Source organism: Homo sapiens, chromosome 18 (genome assembly GCF_000001405.40).
Source record: "Homo sapiens chromosome 18, GRCh38.p14 Primary Assembly".
NCBI classification, from domain to species: Eukaryota; Metazoa; Chordata; class Mammalia; order Primates; family Hominidae; genus Homo; species Homo sapiens.
Genome location: NC_000018.10, coordinates 45,371,369 through 45,391,626, shown reverse-complemented (window position 1 = coordinate 45,391,626; position 20,258 = coordinate 45,371,369). Strand labels below are relative to the sequence as shown.

Below are 20,258 nucleotides of genomic sequence, written 5' to 3'. Positions count from 1 at the left end.
ACCAGTTAGAATGGTGATCATTAAAAAGTCAGGAAACAACAGGTGCTGGAGAGGATGTGGAGAAATAGGAACACTTTTACACTGTTGGTGGGACTGTAAACTAGTTCAACCATTGTGGAAGTCAGTGGGGCGATTCCTCAGGGATCTAGAACTAGAAATACCATTTGACCCAGCCATCCCATTACTGGGTATATACCCAAAGGATTATAAATCATGCTGCTTTAAAGACACATGCATACGTATGTTTATTGCGGCACTATTCACAATAGCAAAGACTTGGAACTAAGCCAAATGTCCAACAATGATAGACTGGATTAAGAAAGTGTGGCACATATACACCATGGAATACTATGCAGCCATAAAAAATGATGAGTTCATGTACTTTGTAGGGACATGGATGAAGCTGGAAACCATCATTCTCAGCAAACTATCTCAGGGACAAAAAACCAAACACCACATGTTCTCATAGGTGGGAATTGAACAATGAGAACACATGGACACAGGAAGGGGAACATCACACACCAGGGCCTGTTGTGGGGTGGGTGGAGGGGGGAGGGAGAGCATTAGGAGATATACCTAATGTTAAATGACGAGTTAATGGATGCAGCACACCAACATGGCACATGTATACATCTGTAACAAACCTGCACATTGTGCACATGTACCCTAAAACTTAAAGTATAATAAAAAAACATAAAACATCATAAATACTTACAGTGAAAATGATGTGTCTGTATTAAAATAAATGTGCTGATTACTAGCAACTTAAAAAGAAATAATTTTATGGCAAAACAACAACAACAATATTGAGTGTCTCACCTGGTTATTGTGAGCATTATACGATCTGGGTGAAAGGTGCGCAGCTTGGTGCCTGGCTCCAGCAGCCATTGCATGACAGGTAGCAATTGTGATCATTCCCTTTAGATTTTTCAGACCTGACCATCCCATCTGAAATTGTACCCCTTCCGTATTCACCCTCACCTCCTAACACTTTATATATACCCTCTCTTATGTGTGCATCTTTTATTATTCTCTCAGGTAATAAAATATAGGCTCCATTAGGATAAGATTTTTGTGTCTCTGTTTACTAGCAGAACAATATCTGGTACTTATTAGGTGCTCAGTGAATATTTGTTTAATGATAAATGAATAAATTCACCTACTAGGGCGTGGGGCAGACAACACTGGTAAACAGCACAGTGGAGCACCATTTCTACCATAAAGCTTAGCATATGGGAAGATCACTCAGTTTACCCTGAGTGTCCCATTCTTGGAGCCCTACAAGCACTGAGGAAGTGATTAGATACTCCTGAGATTGTTCACTGGTTGCTTCATGAAGCCCAGTGACAAGATGGTGCTCAGGACCAGAGGAAGCAGGACAAATGAAGGTCTCCTGTTGGTACCACCTGGACATATCAGAGCCAGTCTCAGAACTTGGTTTTCTCCCAGTGCTCGTGTCGATTTTTGTCCTGTCTGCAGCCTTGCGTGCAGGCAGAATAAGCATTCCCTATGTTCTGCAGTTCCAGGGCCTATGGCAAAGCCTTTTCAGCCTCTCAAATTCTCCCCCAAATACCAACGAGATTTTAACTTTATATTTTTAGGGCAGTTTTAGGTTCACTTTTCATTTTATTTATTTGGAGCAGTTTTAGGTTTCATTCTAGCAAAATTGAGAGGAAGGAGGAAGGTACAGAGATATCCCAATGGGACTTTTACGTGCTACAGTTACATTCTCGAAGATTAAAGTTTGGATATCCATCAAAATGCAAAGATCTTTTTTCAGGGTCAACGTTTTTACTCCTTACAGTGGGTGTGGGATTTAATTCACAGATATTTTGGAGTGGGGGTGAGTGTGGGACAAGAGGAGAGAAATAGGGTAGAGAGACCCATCAAGTTCATGTCAGACTTTAACTATTTTCTTATTTTGCCTAAGCCTATATTGCCTCTGGCACCTGTAAGCAAATATTCTCAAATATAAAGCACCTTTTAGCTCTTTAGTTGAACAACTCTTTAAGAACCTTTGGTAGAAAATTCCTAAAATGTCACACTTTTTAACCTATTAACTTAATCCAAGAAAGAAAGAAGGCTGGTTGAAGTTGATTTGGGATCCTGAAGTAACTATAAGAATAATGCTTTTTATACTGCAAGAATGGTCAGCTCTTGATTATGAGAAAATAGTATGACTTGATGAATAATGAGACAATCCTTTTGGAAAAGCCTCATTTGACCACTGGATTGACCATTACTTTTGGAGAGAGAGAGCTATGTTACTTGGCTCCAAAAATGATGTAGATGGATTCTGTAGTCCATATTTATGAGATAGAGAAATTATAGAGCATCAAACCAATAAGCAAATTTAGTCAGGAAAACAAGTCGCAAACTTGTCTTGCAATTAGCACATGTTCCATCCCATCACTCAAGCTGTGAGCTTCCATAGCCAGCCCAATAGCTGGTCAGAAAGGTGCTTTTTATCACCAGCACATAATCTCAAAATGGTCAGTTTTCTCTACATACCAGGGCTTGCACAGGTGTCATACATTTTATGAAAATTTACATCAAAATGATTTGAAATCAAAAGGTTTTGCCTCTCAAAGGGTTAATGCAAATTCTCATCCATGCCAGATTACTGTCTCTATTTTTATGCACATATTTATATATGAATATTTAACTTCTATTTTCCCTTATTTATTCAATATTTTAAAATCTTCACTAGATGCTAGCCCATCAATGTGCCTTCTTTGAAGAAGCCAATCCACATTTGGAAGCATAATTCCTTTGCTTTATCATCCTATCACTCACAAATGCGTATTTGTGTGCACCTGTGGCCTTCAGCGACCTCCTGTCTTCATAGGTCACATTGAGGAGCTTGTGAAGAGTTTGTACCTCTTCTTCATGCAAGTGCCAATATGCCCTTCTGTCTAGTTGGTATCTGGGATGAGAAACATGGAGTGGAATTCCTATTCTTAAGTGTTCTCTTGGGGAATATAAGGGCGGGTGGCAGAGAGAAAGGATTAGAGATTCAGCATCTCAATATATAAAAATCTTCAACCCCAGGTATTCGCAATCTTGGGGCACTGAAGAGAACAGACGAAAAATAGCCCTAGATACCAGGAAGGGTATCTAGGAATGGAAGATGCTATCCAACCAGCCTATGCCCTGTCTTTTATTATAAGAGCTCTTGCTGTCAAGAGCTGAGGAGTGAAATTGTTTTCCAGCCACAGTAAAGCAAGACTTCATTTCAGGTGCCTGGTTTATTTAAGATATGAGCAGCCGGGCGCGGTGGCTCATGCCTGTAATCCCAGCACTTTGGGAGGCCAAGGCAGGTGGATCACGAGGTCAGGAGATCGAGACTAACCTGGCTAACATGGTGAGACCCCATCTCTACTAAAAATACAAAAAATTAGCCGGGCGTGTTGGCAGGCACCTGTAGGGAGGCTGAGGCAGGAGAATGGCGTGAACCCAGGAGGCGGAGCTTGCAGTGAGCCGAGATCTCGCCACTGCACTCCAGCCTGGGCACACAGTGAGACTCCGTCTCAAAAAAAAAAAAAAAAAAAAAAAAAAAAAAGATATGAGCAAGGTGAGCTTAGGGCAATCCAGGACTTCATCCTCCTTTGAGCCTTCCCAAGCTGTATACAGCCTTTAAATAATGACCTCCTTTGCACATAACCTGACCTCAAAAATGACCTCTTTGCACATAACCTGACCTCATGAGAGATTCCCCCACTTTTCAGTCTGCCCTATGGACAAAGCCTATACCGGCTTTCATGCATTTTTGACAAATAGCCTCAATTTTCTTCCAGCTGTTTCATGTGTAAATGCTGTTTAGTGTGTGAATCAGTTTCCTGAAGGCAAATAATCCTTCTCAGTTGATTGTCATAATAGCTCATACAACTTTCTACATTCGAAGAGACATGATGTGGACATGAGAGAAATAAAGTTCGACCCTGTCCCCAAAGCCATCCCTTCTGACTTGCCCTGAGGATACCTGAAATTTCTACTAGCAGTCATTAAGAAATTTTTGATCTGGATATGTATTTCAAAATATGATATTGATTGAGAGAGATAACATAATTGTGAACTAATATATCCTATCAGTTATTCACCAAAGATTTATAGTGTGCATTTACTGCCTATGAAGCACACTGCTAGGGAGACTTAGAATTAGAGACTGCCCTTGCTTTCCAGGGTGTGGTAACCATCAGTCATTCTCATAAATATCTGTTTCTCCTTACTTGTGGGAGTGACATGGTGATGTGGGAGGGTTACATTTTCTGCCTCCTTGTTTGGGGGGCAGGGCATAGAATTAATTCTGGCTGAGGAGTTGTGGCAAGCTATGGGTTTAATACTTTGAAATACGGGGTTGCTTGACGCTGTAGCAGAACCTTGCCTATTTTGACTGATATAAGTAGCATACCCTTTTAAGACAGAAAAAAGAGATGGCCATACATGGTTGTAACATACAGAAGTTGTAAGGGAGATACAGCAAAATTCTTATGGAGAGAGATTTCCACAATGAGTAGAATATCTGTGAGGGCCCAATGGAAGTAGTAGCAACTGGGCTGAGCCCAGTTTAGAGAAAAAGAGTAACTCAGAAAAGAATACTCCAGAAACAGTTTAAGCCAAGGTCTAGAGGGAGATAAAGTTAATATTCACAGAGTGTCATAGTGAGTAATTCAGACTGAATCACAATTATTCTAATAATAACAAGCTGCCATTTACTGCCTGTGCTCACCATGTGCCTGGTTATGTGCTAAGTGGTTTACACAAATCATCAACATCATCTTCACAACAGCCCTGGGAGGTAGATACTATCAGCATCTCAATTCTACAGTTGAGGAAACTGAGTCTTTTGGAGGTTAATCAACAGTTTGAGGTCCCACAGCCAGTTGGCACTACTGCAGAGGCTCAAATTCCGGCCTGGCCCCAAAGTCTATGCTCTCAACCATGATGTTCTTCTAATTCTGAAAGCAGGGAACTTAGCAGCTGTTGAGTGGAGGAGGAGTCTGCGCTATGTGTTAGCAGGACTCAGTTAATCTGCTAATGCTGGTCTGCCCACAGCCATGGGGCAGGAAGCAAATCTTTTCGGGATGGTACCCAGCCAGGTAGCCATAGTGGAGAACAGAGAGAATCCAGGTACAGAGGGAATGCTTGGGTCCATTAGGGGGCGCCGTGTGCCTTCAGACTACAAGCTTATGGCTGGCTTTGGTTTTGCAAGACCCTCCTGCGGTCTTTGAGTTCTAGAAGATACTGCAGAAATCAGAGTTCCAGCTCCCAAAAAGCCACAAAAACTGAGTTCTTGTACTGGCCTGGCCTTCCCTATCTATGGGTTTTAGAAATGAAATTTCCATGAGACATTTGACCCTTCAGTTTGGGTTTTAAAGCCAGCCAGAAGTAGATTCCAGGTGCAATTTTTGAACCAACTCCAGCTAGACAGATGTAGCTTCTCATCTGGGACTCCTCACTTACCCCAGAATAACTCACCACCATCACTTTCACCTCCATAACTTGGCTTATGCTCTTCTCTCTGCTGATTTGAATCATCCTTGTTCGTCAAACATAGCCCTCGTCTCTGAACCCCACAGCATCTCTTATTTCTGGCCCAAACAACCTTCAAATAGACCCTAAGCTCCTGTGGGCAGTCATTGTGTTTTCTGCTTCACCCACACCCACAGTCCTTAACCCTACCCTGGGGACATGGTGGGGGCTCAGTGAAAGCTTCAGCTGCTTCAAGCCCACTTTATTTCCATCTTTTCTGATGCTATCAACTGACTTAGGTTCTTTCTCTTACTTTTCTATATAACCCCTGGAATACCCTAACATCTGTATTGCCTCATCTGATCCCCTATTCTTTCAAACCGTGTACTTTGAAGGTTTTCAAGTCAGTCCTAATCAATGTCAGTCCAATTTAAATAATACAATAATAATTTTATAGCTGAGACATCTTGAGCAAGTCACTTACACCTCAGTTCTTTCATTTGCAGAATAGGAAGATAGTGGTGGCAACCATGTACTATAATGGGAGAATTAATGAGATATAAAATATTCAGCACCTGACATATATTGAATATTATACGGGTCTTACTAATCTCCTACTCTCCCTCTATTGTGTTTTCAATCCTCTCTAGAAACAACCTGGTTTCTCCTCACTTACTAAATCCATCTCCTCTCTCCTCTGCTCAGTTCTACTTTCTGCTGATTTGAATCCCGTGTCTCAGACCCTGGGAAGAAGGGCTGAGATGTGTTTCTTAGGAAGATTTTGACCCAGAGGGAAACACCTTGCTGTGGAGCTTGCAGCAGCCCAACTCCCTTAGTGTGGGGTCCTGTGATTCCTGCACACTCGAAAGCGTTATCAACCTGCAGGGAATTTGGTAGTGCTAATCAAACATTTGCTGCACGCCACCTGGAAGTGGTGTGTACTTTAAGATAATGTCTGGCTTCGGATTGGATGCTGGTGATTAGAGCAGTAAATCAGCCCCACTTCGCGGTTGCAGGTTTTCTTGGCCCACTTAGTGCATTGGAGCAGATTTCAGTGTGCAGATGTTTTTCAGCTTCCCTTTTCATCTCTGAGGAGGACAATTACAATATCCTGATGTTCTCCCGACATCCAACTATCCCATTTTGTTTCTGCGTTTTAGCTCATCGATGATAAAAGGCAGGAGAAGCTTAAAAGCTCCCTGTTCATCTTTACTTGAAGGTGCCATCATGCTGGAAAGCTGTGTATGGTTTGCAGCTGAGTGGGACCTTGGTTAAGGTCTCACTGAAGTCATAGAGGAACTTTCACATAATTGACAGCAATTGGCTATTTGGATTTACACTCACTTCCCATCTCCCCACAACAATCACACATACACATACCCTCCTGGGTCCTCAGTTTTTTTGTGGCTTTCCACTTGCAACATGAGATGCAAGACAGGTCACCACTGTGGGGGCAATGCGAGGGCAGCCCCTGGACAGCTGGGGGTTGTCGGGGGGAGAGGCACTGAATACCTTTTGGTTGGGGGCGGGGGTAGTTGGCTACATACCATCCAGCAGAGGGCAGCAGTGCCTAACATTAGATCATAAATCCCTTCCTTTACTCAGATTCAGGCTAAGGCAGGTTGGGGGTGACTCAGGGGTGTCCCCTGCAGCCCTAAGAAATTGAGAAATATTTCCCTTATGAGGTGGGTGGGCTTATTCCTACTGAGAAACAAAGAAAATCTTAGAGCCAGGAAGCTCTTTAGGGAGCAAAGTTCTGACCTTTTCATTTTACAGCAAGAGAATTTGTTCATGGATTCCCAGACTGGTCCAGGGAGGGTGCTTTCCACAATGCCATGCTGCTATTCACTTTGAAGGTGAAATCACCAACTGCGGGAGGTGAGCCCAGTTCATAGTAACCAGAGGAGAGGGTCTGTGTGGCCCCCTCACTTGTTCTCACTCCTCCTTTTAATGCAGTGGGTTAGGTCCTAGTGGTTTAAGAGAAAGCACAAAGACTTCTAGTCCTAGCTCTCTCATTTTCACACATATGCCATTTACCTCCAATCTCTATTTTCCTGTGTAGTGCCTATGCTAGCATGTCTTGCATCTAAAAGCAACTCTTTTCCCCTCTGCCCAACCCAGGGACCTTCCTTGACTCTCTAAACTTGTTCATTTTCTGGGGATTTATCCTTGATATTGGTCTTTCTCTTCAAATCCATCCTGAAAATGAATTTCAGATTAACCTCACTCATCCTTCTCACCTCACATCACTGTCAGGGGCTTCTTGGGGGTGCAGGGAAGAGAAAGGAGGGAACCAATGCATTCAGAAGTGGAGGAAATAAAGAAGCCCAGGCAAGCAGAGCCCAGGGCAGCCATGCAAGGTTATTTTTCAGATTGCTCTCCTAGCACATGCCACTGGGATGGTGGTTTAGAAACTGACACATGGAACAACTTGGGGCAAGATTAAGCCTGGGTGGCAGGTCTAATTGGATCCAGAGCATCATGAGGATATGAACACCTGGAGGCCTGTGAGGGGAACCCCAGGAGACAAGGGAGAAGTAGAGAAGGGAAGGGAGGGGAGAGCCTAACACATGTAAATATTGCCTACATGAAAATGTTGAGGGCTATCAGAAAACCTGTAGACAAGACTTTGTACTGGTGAGTGGTTGCTCTGGGTAATCTCTAAGACCATCTAAACAGCCTCTGGGATTCTATGGGCTGAGTGGGTTACTCTGGATAATCTCTAAGACCATCTAAACTCAGCCTTTGGGATTCTATGAGCTTGGTGGAATTCTGAAATGCCTTAGGCTGAAGGAGATTCCATAGGGTCACTAAGTTTCCCACCTGGAGCTGAGCTGTTTTAGTATACAGTAGGCCAGTTGCTTCCATTTTCTGCGCATCACTGAATAGAATCTCCCTGGTGCTTCTGGGAGCTGAATGGGATTATGGGAAAAGCACTGTATTTGAATCAGGAGACCTAGGTCTTGGTCCTGCTTTTCTCGCTAACCCATTCTGTGATCTTGGGAAAGTCATTTTTCTTCTCTGGTTTTTAGTTTGCTTTTCTGTCAAATATAACAGTTGAAATACCTCAGGGCAGGCAAATGTGCAGCACAAATGAAGCCAAGCAGTCTGTTCCCATAGCACATATTGCTGTTAGATGGCAACATTCTTTCCCACTGAACAACACTTAGAATCCTTCTCAACACTGCATTGGAGACAACCAATATCAACCAAATAGAGCTTTTCTTCGAGATTAAAACTACTTACTATTGTTGGACTAGATAATTTTAAACTTGACTTGCAGTTCTAAAGTAAACTCTTCCTCTCCCATATACTGCCCATGAATGGCATGGTCATAGAAAAAAGGGATATCTACAGCTGTTTTCAAAAGAGCTACGTGAAGTAAAAAAGAGACATCTGAAGACATTGGTGTCAATTAGAAGTATTTAGCAAGTGCCTACCAAGTGTCTAGAAGTTTTCTAAGTTCTTTATAGAGAGATTCAGCCTAAGATACAGCTATTTCAGGGACTAATAACAATAGCCTTAAACTCACTTTGATTCATAAGGGCATAGAATTCTTTTCTATAATTCAGGATAGGAAATCCCTTATTCTCCAGGTAACAAAAGTGGGGTGGAGAAAGTTAAGTACTACAGAAGAGTCAGAGAGACATAACCTGGTGGCTAAATGTATTGCAGACCAAGTCATGGAGACTAATGCTAACATACAGGCCTATTTTGCATGAAGTCTTCCCCTATATTTTCAAACAGAATAAAATCCCATTGTCCTTGACCCCCATTATACTGCTCAATAGATTCTGCCATGTACTAACTTTCTGTAAAAGTCTAAGCTCTGTGAAACTAGAGCTTATATTAAGTTCCTCCCTATATGTATTCCCAACATCTAGCACAAGTATTTGTATGGTAAACACACCTGATAGCAATAACTTAAGCATACTCTGAGAATGACCCTATATGGCAGATGCACTGAATGTGTGTATTCAGAGTTCAGAGCTAGAGAATCTGGGAGTGGCCAACCATAAATCCATCCCTTGTCTATGAGTATCATCTGAGCCCCTGGCCTATCCTGTAGAACACAATTGTACAGGAGATTGAGGCCCTGAATATTGGGTTGAATGAAGGTTGCCAGGTAGAAGCTGTTAGGGGGAGGGTGCTAAGCGGAAATGTTATATAAACTGCATGTTTTTTGCAAGCAGTTGTAGTTTTTCAGCCCAGCCCATTGTCCCTGGGTGGTGCAGTTCTCCTGTCCAGCCTGCTACCACTGGACTGCATGTAAAATGGTTCTCCTGTCCAGCCCGCTGCCACTGGACTCTCGCTCCTGCCTGTATGTCCCCCACAAAACCCCATGTCTCATTTGCAGGCTGTGGATCTCTTATTTGGCCTCTCAAACCTGGTGCCACTCACCACCCTGTTCCCCTGCCCCCCAACCCCCGGAGTTGAAGGAGGTTTGGTACAACAAAAAAGTGTTATTCCCAAATGTTACTTGAATTAAGATACAAATTTTGTTCCCAGTCAGTCTATTCCTATGAGGAGCTTATAGTCCATATAATTGGATCAACAAAAACTATGCCCAAGACATCAGCAGAAGAAAGAAAGAAAATATGGACTTAAGTGTAAAAGTCCTCAACTGGCTGAGGTCAGGATCTAGAAGCAAAGGAACTGTGTCAAACCCAGTCCTGTGTCTTTGTGGTTTATGCAGTTTGGGGTGACTGTGGTGAAAAGACCACAGAAAATAAGTTCAAGAGGTCGTCCCTTCTCTGATCCTTAATTTGCTCAACTATAAAATAAGAGGTTTGGTCAAAGATATGTTTGTTTTCCAAATCTAATATCCCATGATGTTTTAATTCAGAGTCTGTAATTATTTATTAACCAAATATAAGCCAGTCATCACTATCAGACTGCATTGTGTGAGATGGTGGATTCAGACTTGCCAGATTCTGCCCTACCAGAGAGCTCAGCTCTAGCTGGTCAGGGAGATAATTCACTAACAAGTGCAGAGTACTGGCTGGCTCCATCTGTGAAGAGGTTTATCAGAAAGGTTCAAGAACAGCTTCCTTGGAGGACTCAAGCTATGAAGCTATAGGTGAGATTTCTGTTCTAAGGGGTGACAGCCTAACAGTGCCCAGGAAAATTCAAGAAAGTCCACAGATCTAGATCCTGGAGACTAGAGCTGGACAAAGGAGCTACATATTTATCAAACAACTTCAGAGTTGACAAAGCATTTCATAAGTGTTGCCACTTTGATCCCCGATAACAAGGCTAAGGGTTGTTATTTATGTTTTCTAGATGAGGTAGCTGAGATTCAAGGTCAACAAGTAGTTAAACAGATTTTTGAGAAAGAGAAAAGAGCAACTTCTAATATCCAAAAGCTGGTCTGGCACTCGCAGCTAGGCCATGTTACTCTCCTATTGGACATAAACAATCTCAAAGTATACAAACCCCCAACTAGGTTACTCTGAGACCAAGACAAAATGAGACAAAGCACAGCCAACTTCATAATTTTGTCTAAACACTGACAAAAACAAGGCCCCTGTGTCACCCTGAAACATCAAACATACCCTCTCTTGGGTAGAATGAATGCATTCCACTTTTTTTACTAGTTGCAGATTCTCATTCTCACTATAGAAATAATTTATTGAGATTGCCAATCATAGACTTGTCTCTACTTTCTGATAGCATTCAATCTTAAGTAAACCTTTATTTCCTTAGACCCTTCCCCATATCACCCATCCAGGGCCCAAATGCTATAATAGGTTCTTTCTAACATTCTCTTACTCAGATGCCCATAATTTCTCATGGTGTGTGCTCTCTATTGCTACAAAGAGTAATAAACCCACCTGGGTCGACTACAGATATTTTCCTGATGGTCTTTGGCTAGTGGGCATTGACAATTTCCATAAGGTTAACTGTGTTTTCATGGTCACACAATTAGTAATGGTTGGTCTTATGATATTTAGCCCCTGGTTCTTTCCAGGACACCAAACCACTGAAAGAAACAAGGCTCACTCTCACTACTATCATAAGACAGAGGCCCAGAAAGTGTTGTGGTGCCATCAAAAGATAGTTAAAAGGTACTAGGGTATAAGAAGAATGAGTCATCTGAAAAATTTCCATTTGAGTCACTATTTTGACTCTTCAAATCCTTTTCAAATCATATGATTCCAGTGGAGCCTTACATTACTCTGGCGAGGAAGGTGGGGTGGGCATTACTGTGCCATTTGGCAGGTGGGATGGAAAGTGATTTACATAGTGTTCCTTAGCTACTCAGGGAAGAATTCCTTTCCTTATCAACCATACCTCTACAGGTCCATGTATGAAATGAAGTACATGCATGACATTCTTTTTGGTCATGGCCAAGTTCTGGGATAACAACAAAATTAGAGGACGGGAGACTCAGTGGGGAGGATTTTATCTAAAATGGTTATGAAAGCTTAAAATAATCCCACACTTGGTGTGAGTTAACAGTGATTCAGCTTTGATAAAAGTTGATGTACTCTTAGGCTTCATTAAAAGGTGGATGGTGTTCATTCACACTGTAGAAAGTGACTATCCAGACTGAGCATTTTAAAGGTATTTCACCCAGATTTGGGAACCTTTTAGAGGATCATGGGTATGTGGAGTGCATTCAGATAAGAGTAATGACTCGGAAGGGTGGTTCTGAAACCAGGTCGAAGGAGGAATGGTTAAGGGAATGGGGGTGGGGAGAGGTAGCTTGCAGAATAGTTCCATGTGGTGCAGATCTGATAGCTGTCTTCAGACATGGGAAAGGCCACACACAGAAGAGAAAATAGACTTTCACTATGTTACATTGGAGGCAGAATTAGGACCAGTGGGCGGAATTTATAAGAAGCCAGCTTTTGGCCCAATATAGGAATTGCCTTTTTAACATAGAAAGCTGTCCAACAATGTAGATGGCAGTAAGCTTATTATTCCTGAGGGAATTTAAGTATAACCTGGAGGATGTTTTGTGAGGGACACTTGAGAGCAGATAGTGTGCCAGATGGATTGTATTCCGTGACACTTGCAGTTGTTCCATCTCTAATGTGTCCTGTTAGGTCACCCCAGGCACTGTTCGGGTTTGGGTAAAAGTAAAAGTGGGGCAGAGAATTCGAGGATTAACAAGATTCAGTCACTTTTCTATGTTGTGTTTTTTATTTGATCATTTACTACCTTGGATTTTAATTTAATTAGCTCTTTCGTCAGGTATCTTTTCACCATAAGGCTGATTTGATCAAAATGCATTGAGCGACCAGGAGCGGTGGCTCACGCCTGTAATCCCAGCACTTCGGGAGGCTGAGACGGGCAGATCACCTAAGGTCAGGGATTCTAGACCCACCTGGCCAACATGGCAAAACCCAGTCCTAAAAAACAAAACAACAACAACAACAACAACAGCAATGATCAGAAACAAAATGCATTGAGCATTTATGTGTTCCAGGACCTGTGAATACCCTGGTAAATAAAACAGACATGTCCCCTCCTCTCATAGAGTTCCACCAAAACCTTAAACATGACAGCAGGAACGGTAATACAAACTAATTTTTTAAGTCTTATGGAGTGTTAGCAAAATGTGGCCCATTAACATGATTACATATGAAAGAATAAATTAGAATTCAGGACAACTGATGTCCAACCCCAAATGCTTTCTGCTGAATCACTTGCCTCTATCATGTCATCTCACAGTTGTAAAGAAAAAACTACTTCCAGACATTTTTGAAGTCAGTTTTCAATAGAGATAGGGGATGGCCATCCAAGCTCAATTCTAAATGTTAACTGTGCTATAACAGCTCATAGATTCTTCTCAAGAAGTAGTTCTCCTAAGATTTTACTCTGGAGACCTCAATAAAAGGAGCTGTCTTCAGACATCTTTACCAGTAATTCAATTCAGTTCAGTTCAATTCAACTCAATTCAATTCTTAATAGGAGCCTTTACACTATGCTAAATACTCCAGAGAATTCAGAAATAAATAAGACCCAGTCCCAAGCCTTAGGAGCTTACTGTAGTTTGGAGCCCATAGATAAATAACTATAAATTCAAAGTAAAGTATCTAAGTGCCTTAGGGGAGAAACAAGGAGATAGAGATTACACTGGTTTCTGGGTTCGAGAAGGAAATGCGATTTCACAGGAATTTTGAAAGATGTGTGCATTTTTTTATGGTGATTGTTGGGGGTAGGATTTTCAAGGAAGATAGATAAACAAGCCACAGAAATGGGAATTTGTGAGATTTCCTTGGAGAGATCCCTGTAATTGGGTGGCTGGTAGGTAGCTGTAGCAAGTAAAGCAGGAAGATGGGACTGTAGAAGACAGAGGATTGGATGACCAGACCAAGGGTTCATTTTAAGTTTAGTAGGTAATAGAGAATCATGGAAGGCTGTCACCCAGAGAAGAGGAACAATTAGAGTTATAGGACAGAAAAAGTGCATCTGGAAGTTTGGGATGGATTGGAAGTGGGAGTGAAAATGCAGGTGTCTTAGAGGTAGAGAACAGCCAAACCAAAGTGGCCAAGTGAAATGGAAAGAAGGGGATGAATCTGAGATGTTGAGAAGCAAGGACCTGTGATGCTTAATCTTTGAAATAAGTGTGATTAGAAAAGGAGAGGGGGAAATGAGTGAAATGGGGAGGAGAAAGAGGTAGAGGTCAAATGGGAAGGACTAGGTTTTAGACTTTGGTTCTGAGGTGCTGGTAGGACTCCAGGCTGAGAGTTTATTTGGCAGTTGGAAGCCAGTGTCTAAAGTTTCAGATGAGTTGGGATTAGTACTGGGGATTTAAAAGTCATTGGAGTAGATGCCAATGTTATACAAAAAGATTTAACCATCAAGGGATTGAGTGTGGGGATCCTCAGGAGATTTGGGGAGAATATCTGTGTTTAGGGGAAAAGAAAAGAAGAAGGTAGTAAAAAAAAAAAAATCACCCCTGAGCAGACCACAGAAACCAGAAGAGACACTTCAAGAGATGTAAGCTGAGGGTTAATATAGACTAAACAGCAGTAGAGGTCACACAGGACCAGGAATGAGAAATGGCTTCTGATTTTGGCAACTGCAGATGTTTTCATCACCTTTAGAAAGTAGCATCAGGGCATAGTGGAAGAGGCAGTCAGATGGCAATGGGTTGTTCAGGCATGGGGGCAGTGATGTAAACCACACTTTAAAGGGGATAGGAAGTAAAGGAACATTTTGAGAGGACAGCAAGGTTAACAATGTGTTTTATTAAGACAGGAGAGAAAAGGACCTATTTTTAGGAAGAAATGGGTAGAAAGTAAGAGGTGAAAAGTATGAGCAAGAGAAAAGAACCAAAAATCTAGTAAGGTCTCTGTCGTTATAAAGTATCCATTGAATCAACCATCAGAAATCAAGATCTGCAGCTCCAGAGGTTGCCATTTCCCATGCCCAGATAGTTGGCTTACAAGCCTAGCTTCAAAGCATGCCTTGGCTCACAGAGTCATCTCTTTTAGGGATGTCCCCACCCTGTACTCATCTCAAAGCCATCGAGAACCATCTCTAAATGTCATATCTGGCAGTGATCTCTCTTTTCTCTGATCCGTTGTCGCATCAACAGTTAGAACCACCCAGAGTAGCCTGAAATGATTTTCTTTCCTGAGTGTGTTTGTCTTTCCAGCTAAATTCCTGGGGACTAGGAGCAGTTTTTGTACTTCCCTTAATTCTCAGTAACCCTTAGCAGAATCTGAGCACAAGCAGATATTTAATAGTATCTTAGTCATAGAATTAAGTTGACTAAGTCCATCATTTCCCTCATTCCCCTGATGTGGAAATTGGAGTCTGGAGAGGCTTATGACTTAATATACTGGTTCTGTCATTTCTCAAACACTTTCTGAGCATTTATTTGTGGCAGACACTGTGCAAGGTGCTCAGGACCTTCACAATTTAGCCTGCAAGAGAGATACAAAGAGCTCAGCAAAATACAAATTGTGCAAAGTAAAGTGGCGGCGTGCACAAACTAGAGCAGGAAGAGATGCTATTAATTGAATTTTAGAAGTGAGGTTAACTCCAGAAAAGCCTCAAGGAGAAGAAACTATGTGCCCTGTACCTTAAAGAAAAAGTAAGGACTAAGGTTGGCTAGTTAATGTCCATGTCGGGGGTGTGGCCCAACCTCCCAGATCCACATGGCTACTCTTCCAAATTGGGCAATGGTTAACTGCCTGATTGAATAACTGATTGCTCTGTACCCATCCAGAGTTTCCCAGCTTGTCCTGGCCAGTGGGTATGTGGGCATGCACTGTTGCTTGTTAGATATTTGGGGTGACACAGGGAGCCCCTGTTCCCTCTAGGGAAGGGGAGAAGGAGCATGATGAAAGTGGTGAGGCTACCTAGGATTGGCTGGAGAGATAAGGATGAAAAGGAAAGTGATGGGGGAATGTAGTCATGGATTGCTCACAGAGCCTGTCCTGCAATTCCTCAATGCTGGTGGTTCAGTAGTAGAAGTACTGTAACATTGTAACTGTCCAATGGGTTCACCTTGCCGGCTGCTTAGACAGAGCTGATTTATTAAAACAGGGGAATTGCAATAGAGAAAGAATAATTCATGCAGAGCCGGCCGTGCAGGAGACCAGAGTTTTATTATTACTCAAATCAGTCTCCCCGAGTATTCTGGAATCAGAGTTTTTAAGGACAACTTGGTGGGTGAGGGGAAGCCAGTGAGTTGAGAGTGCTGATTGGTTGGGTAGGAGATGAACTCATGGGAAGTTGAAGCTGTCCTCTTGTGCTGAGTCAGTTCCTGGGTGGAGGCCACAAGACCAGATGAGCCAGTTTATCGATCTGGGTGGTGCCAGCTGATCCATCCCATGCAGGGTCTGCAAAGTATCTCAAGCACTGATCTTAGGAGCAGTTTAGGGAGGGTCAGAATCTTTTAGCCTCCAGCTGCATGATTCCTAAACCATAATTTTTAATCTTGTGGCTAACTTGTAAGTCCTACAAAGGCAGTCTAGTCCCCAGGCAAGAAGGAGGTTTATTTTGGGAAAGGACTGTTATTGTCTTTGTTTTAAACTATAAACTATGAACTAAGTTCCTCCCAAAGTTAGTTCAGTCTACAGCCAGGAAGCAACAAGGACAGCTTAAAGGTTAGAAGCAAGATGGAGTTGGTTAGGTTAGATCTCTTTCATTGTCTCTCAGTCATAATTTTGCAAGGGCGGTTTTAGTATTACCTTTATAAATCTGAGGCTTTATTTATTCAAGTATGCATGTGCGTTCAAGAGTCTCTCTACTTCCAGAGCAAAGGGGCTCAGCTCAACCCAGGGGTTGTGTCTTAGCTTAACTCACAAATGGCCACCTTGTTTGGGATCAGATGCTTTTTGTTTGAGTTCCCTAATCCTTCTGCTTTGCAGTCCTAGAATTTGGTTCCCTAGGTTAGAAGTCCAGATGAGCAAAAGGAGTTCAGCTCTGAAGGATGGGAGGTAGAGGAGGGAGTACAAAGTACAAAGTAACTGATTTTTGTACAAAGTAAAATAATCCCACACGGATGACTGAAGTTTTCAGCAGCTGAGGCTGGGAGTCTGTAACTGGCTTGTGATCTTAGTTTTGCCTCTAATAGCACAGTAAACTTGGGAACCTCTATGCCTCTCTGGATTTCTGACTCCTTATCTTTTATCTGAGAGGTGGGGGTGGGAGTAGGGATTGAACAGTTTCTGAGGTCCCTTCCAACTCTGGTGGTCTCCAGATATTTAACTGGAACCCCAGGAAGACAGCAGCTTGTCATTCTCTCTTCTCACCTCAAGAGGAGTCAGAAAATATTTGGCTCTGGCTCTTTAGCATGGGAAGTGGTGGCCCACAGACATCACAGTTGAGATATTAATAGATTATTCCAAATGTTATATTTGCATAGATGCACCACTCATTATGCAGATTGCCAATTATGAATTATTTGTTCTTTCTTCCAGGAGAGTTGTTTATTTGCAAACTGCACAAGGGTGACTTTGGACAGCATGGAGACAAGGCTGTCACTCAGCATATCTTTTTGTGGGCCTCTCTGCAATAACCTGTACTTTGACAGGTTCTTATAAATAGCCAGGTGAAGGTCAGCAGTGGGTGCTGGGTAGGAAGGTGAGGAGAGGGAAGAAAGCAACAGGATCTTAAGAGGACTAAAATGAGAAGGTCTTGAGGTTGTCATGATCAGATGGCTAATGTGAAATAGAGATAGTTTTGCTCTAAGTTAGGCACAATCCACAATGTGTTCACTCCTTTTTAGCAACAGTATTTCTTGGGTTGAGCCATGCAATGAATCCTGTCTTCACAATTCAAAAACAACCAACTTTAATAGTTGAGCACTGACTATCTAGGGGCACTGTCTTTTAAGTCCTTCACTTGGGTTGGCTCTTTCACCTACCTATTAGGAGAACCGAAGCATAGAGGATTTACATACTTGCCCTGTGCTGAGCTGGTATGTGATCACAGGCTGTCTGATCCCAAGGCCTGTGCACTTAACCACTACACTATACTCTTCCTCAGACACTTAATACTTTGACCGTGGGCCATTTTTCTCAGGGCCATATATAAACACAAGACTGAGTTCTGTGGGCATGTAGAAACAGGAGCATCTGATATAGTGCCCCCAGTTGTCCCCTATTAGACTCTGGTGTTCCACTTAAGCCTCTAAATCTGAGAGTAGCCTGAAGTTGGCTCCAGAGGGAGCATGTAGGTGATTAATGAGTTTTTAAAAGAGGAAATGAGGGAGGGCTGTAGGAACTATTTGCTATGAAGAAAAAGAGGAAGCTGAGAAGGTATCTGGGGCAATAACTGCAGCTAGTGTTGGGATGGATAAAATCATAGACTTTTGGGAGAAGAAAGAAGCTTGGAAGTCAGCTAATCTAACATCACCCAATGCAGCAACTATGCTAGAGAGAGAGCCTGGAGCCGAATAATATAAATGTGTGAAGATAGTGGAGGAAAGGATATTTTTTCCTACTAAGAGAGAAGGAGAAGGGGAAATCAGTTGATGAGTTATAAGGAACTATCACTCTGTATATGCCCACATTTAGTGTCATGGGGCATACATAGCAATAAACCCTGTTCTTATGGAGGAGCTGGTCTAGTTGGGTTTCAAGACTTCAAAATGAAATAGACTCCATCAGATAGTCTACAAGCGACAGAAGTGTAGTCTAGAGCTGTTCTGGCCAATCTGGTCACCACTAGCCAGGTGTGGCTATTGAGCATTCGAAATGTGACTGGTCCAAATTGTGCTGAAAATTTAAAACTGCATACTGGATGTCAAAGGACTTAACATGAAAAAAGAATGTAAAATATCTAACTATATTTTATCTTGATTATATGTTGAAATAACATTATATACATATTAGATTTAATACACGATATTCTTGAAATAATCTTTTTTAAACTTTAAAAAACGTGGATACTAGAAAATTTAAAATTCCATCCATGGCTTGCATTATATTCCTATTAGATAGTGATGGTTTAGATCCTGGCTACCTTAGGTGCAGTCCATGGATTATTGGCACAAGTATCCCCTGGGAGCTTGTTGGGAATGCAGAATCTCAGGCCCTACCCTGCATCGGAACTTGCATGTTGACATTACCCCAGTTGATTTGTATGCACACGAAAGTTTGAGAAGACTTCGCCTCTACCAGCGACTCTGTGTCTCCTCTGTGGGTTAGTCTTTTCAGGTGTTCACATTTTAAACAATGCCAGCTCTGGCAGTAACTCCCTGAATGACAAGAACAAGGGCCATCCTCAGTCTGACCTTAGATTTCCCATCTAAGAAGCTATGTTAGATGTTTCCAGATCATCTCCAGCTCAATCCAGTATTCTACGACCCTATGATTATAGTGTAGAAATTTTATCTAATAGAAATTATTATTATTATTATTATTATTGTTTTTGAGACAGGGTCTCACTTGTTGTCCAGGCTGGAGTGCAGTGGCATGATCTTGACTCACTGCAACCTCCGCCTCCTGGGCTCAAGCGATTCTCCTGCCTCAGGCTCCCGAGTAGCTGGGATTACAGGCAAGTGCCACCATTCCTGGCTAATTTTTGTATTTTTAGTAGAGATGGAGTTTTGCCACGTTGGCCAGATTGGTCTTGAACTCCCAACCTCAGGTGATCTGCCCACCTCAGCCTCCCAAAGTGCTGGGGTTACAGGCGTGAGCCACTGTGTGTGGCCTAATATAAATGAATTACTTATCATAACATTTAATTTTAGAAGCTCTAGTTCCCACCCAAGGCCTTATCTAAGTAGGTAATACTATCCCAATTATTTTCAAGAACACTTAACTCTGCATCAGATAACCCTTTTCTATATCCTTTTAAAAACCTTATCCTGGTACACATACTCGTCAATGAATTTACTTGTAAAGCAAGTAGTAGAAAGTTTAGTATTTGGAAAACAGACACTGAGTAAAGAAAATAATCAGATATGAAGCCAACAAACATTTACAACTGGCTTTTGAGCTTCTTCTCTGGGCTAGATTTGCACAATGGGCATTTATCAATTCCTCCTCAGGAGAGAGTTAGTAAGCAAACATTGAGGGGGATAGAAAAGCACAAGGTTTTAGAGAATAGGCTCTAGGGTCAGAAAGACCAACGTTTGTATACAGGCTCTGCCTTTATATGTAGTCTTAGATACATGTGTAAACTTAGACTTAACTAGCTAAGTCTCAGTTTATTCCTCTGCAAAAGGATTGAATGATATCATTGTTTATTTATGCAATAGATTGTATAAGGATTAAATTAGTTTAGTATGGTGTTAGGGTTCAATACATATCAGCTATTTTTATTATTATTGTTATTAATGGAAATTAATATAGTATGGGGCTAGATATTAT

The 20,258-nt window shown here is 42.0% G+C and overlaps 1 protein-coding gene and 1 long non-coding RNA gene across 6 annotated transcripts in view, besides 1 other annotated feature; one reads left to right on the top strand and one right to left on the bottom strand.

The window, feature by feature from the left end:
- The window catches only part of SLC14A2 (solute carrier family 14 member 2), a 515,726-nt gene that overhangs the window by 292,062 nt on the left and 203,406 nt on the right, over positions 1 to 20,258 (bottom strand). The window lies entirely within an intron of this gene.
- The window catches only part of SLC14A2-AS1 (SLC14A2 antisense RNA 1), a 142,177-nt gene that overhangs the window by 115,437 nt on the left and 6,482 nt on the right, over positions 1 to 20,258 (top strand). The gene's annotated exons all lie outside the window — the stretch shown is intronic.
- Positions 7,073 to 7,122: a silencer, noted in NCBI's record as "silent region_9415". NCBI's record gives its function as "represses an Ori minimal core promoter by ATAC-STARR-seq in GM12878 lymphoblastoid cells {active_cell/tissue: GM12878}" and the evidence as "EXISTENCE:reporter gene assay evidence [ECO:0000049][PMID:35858748]".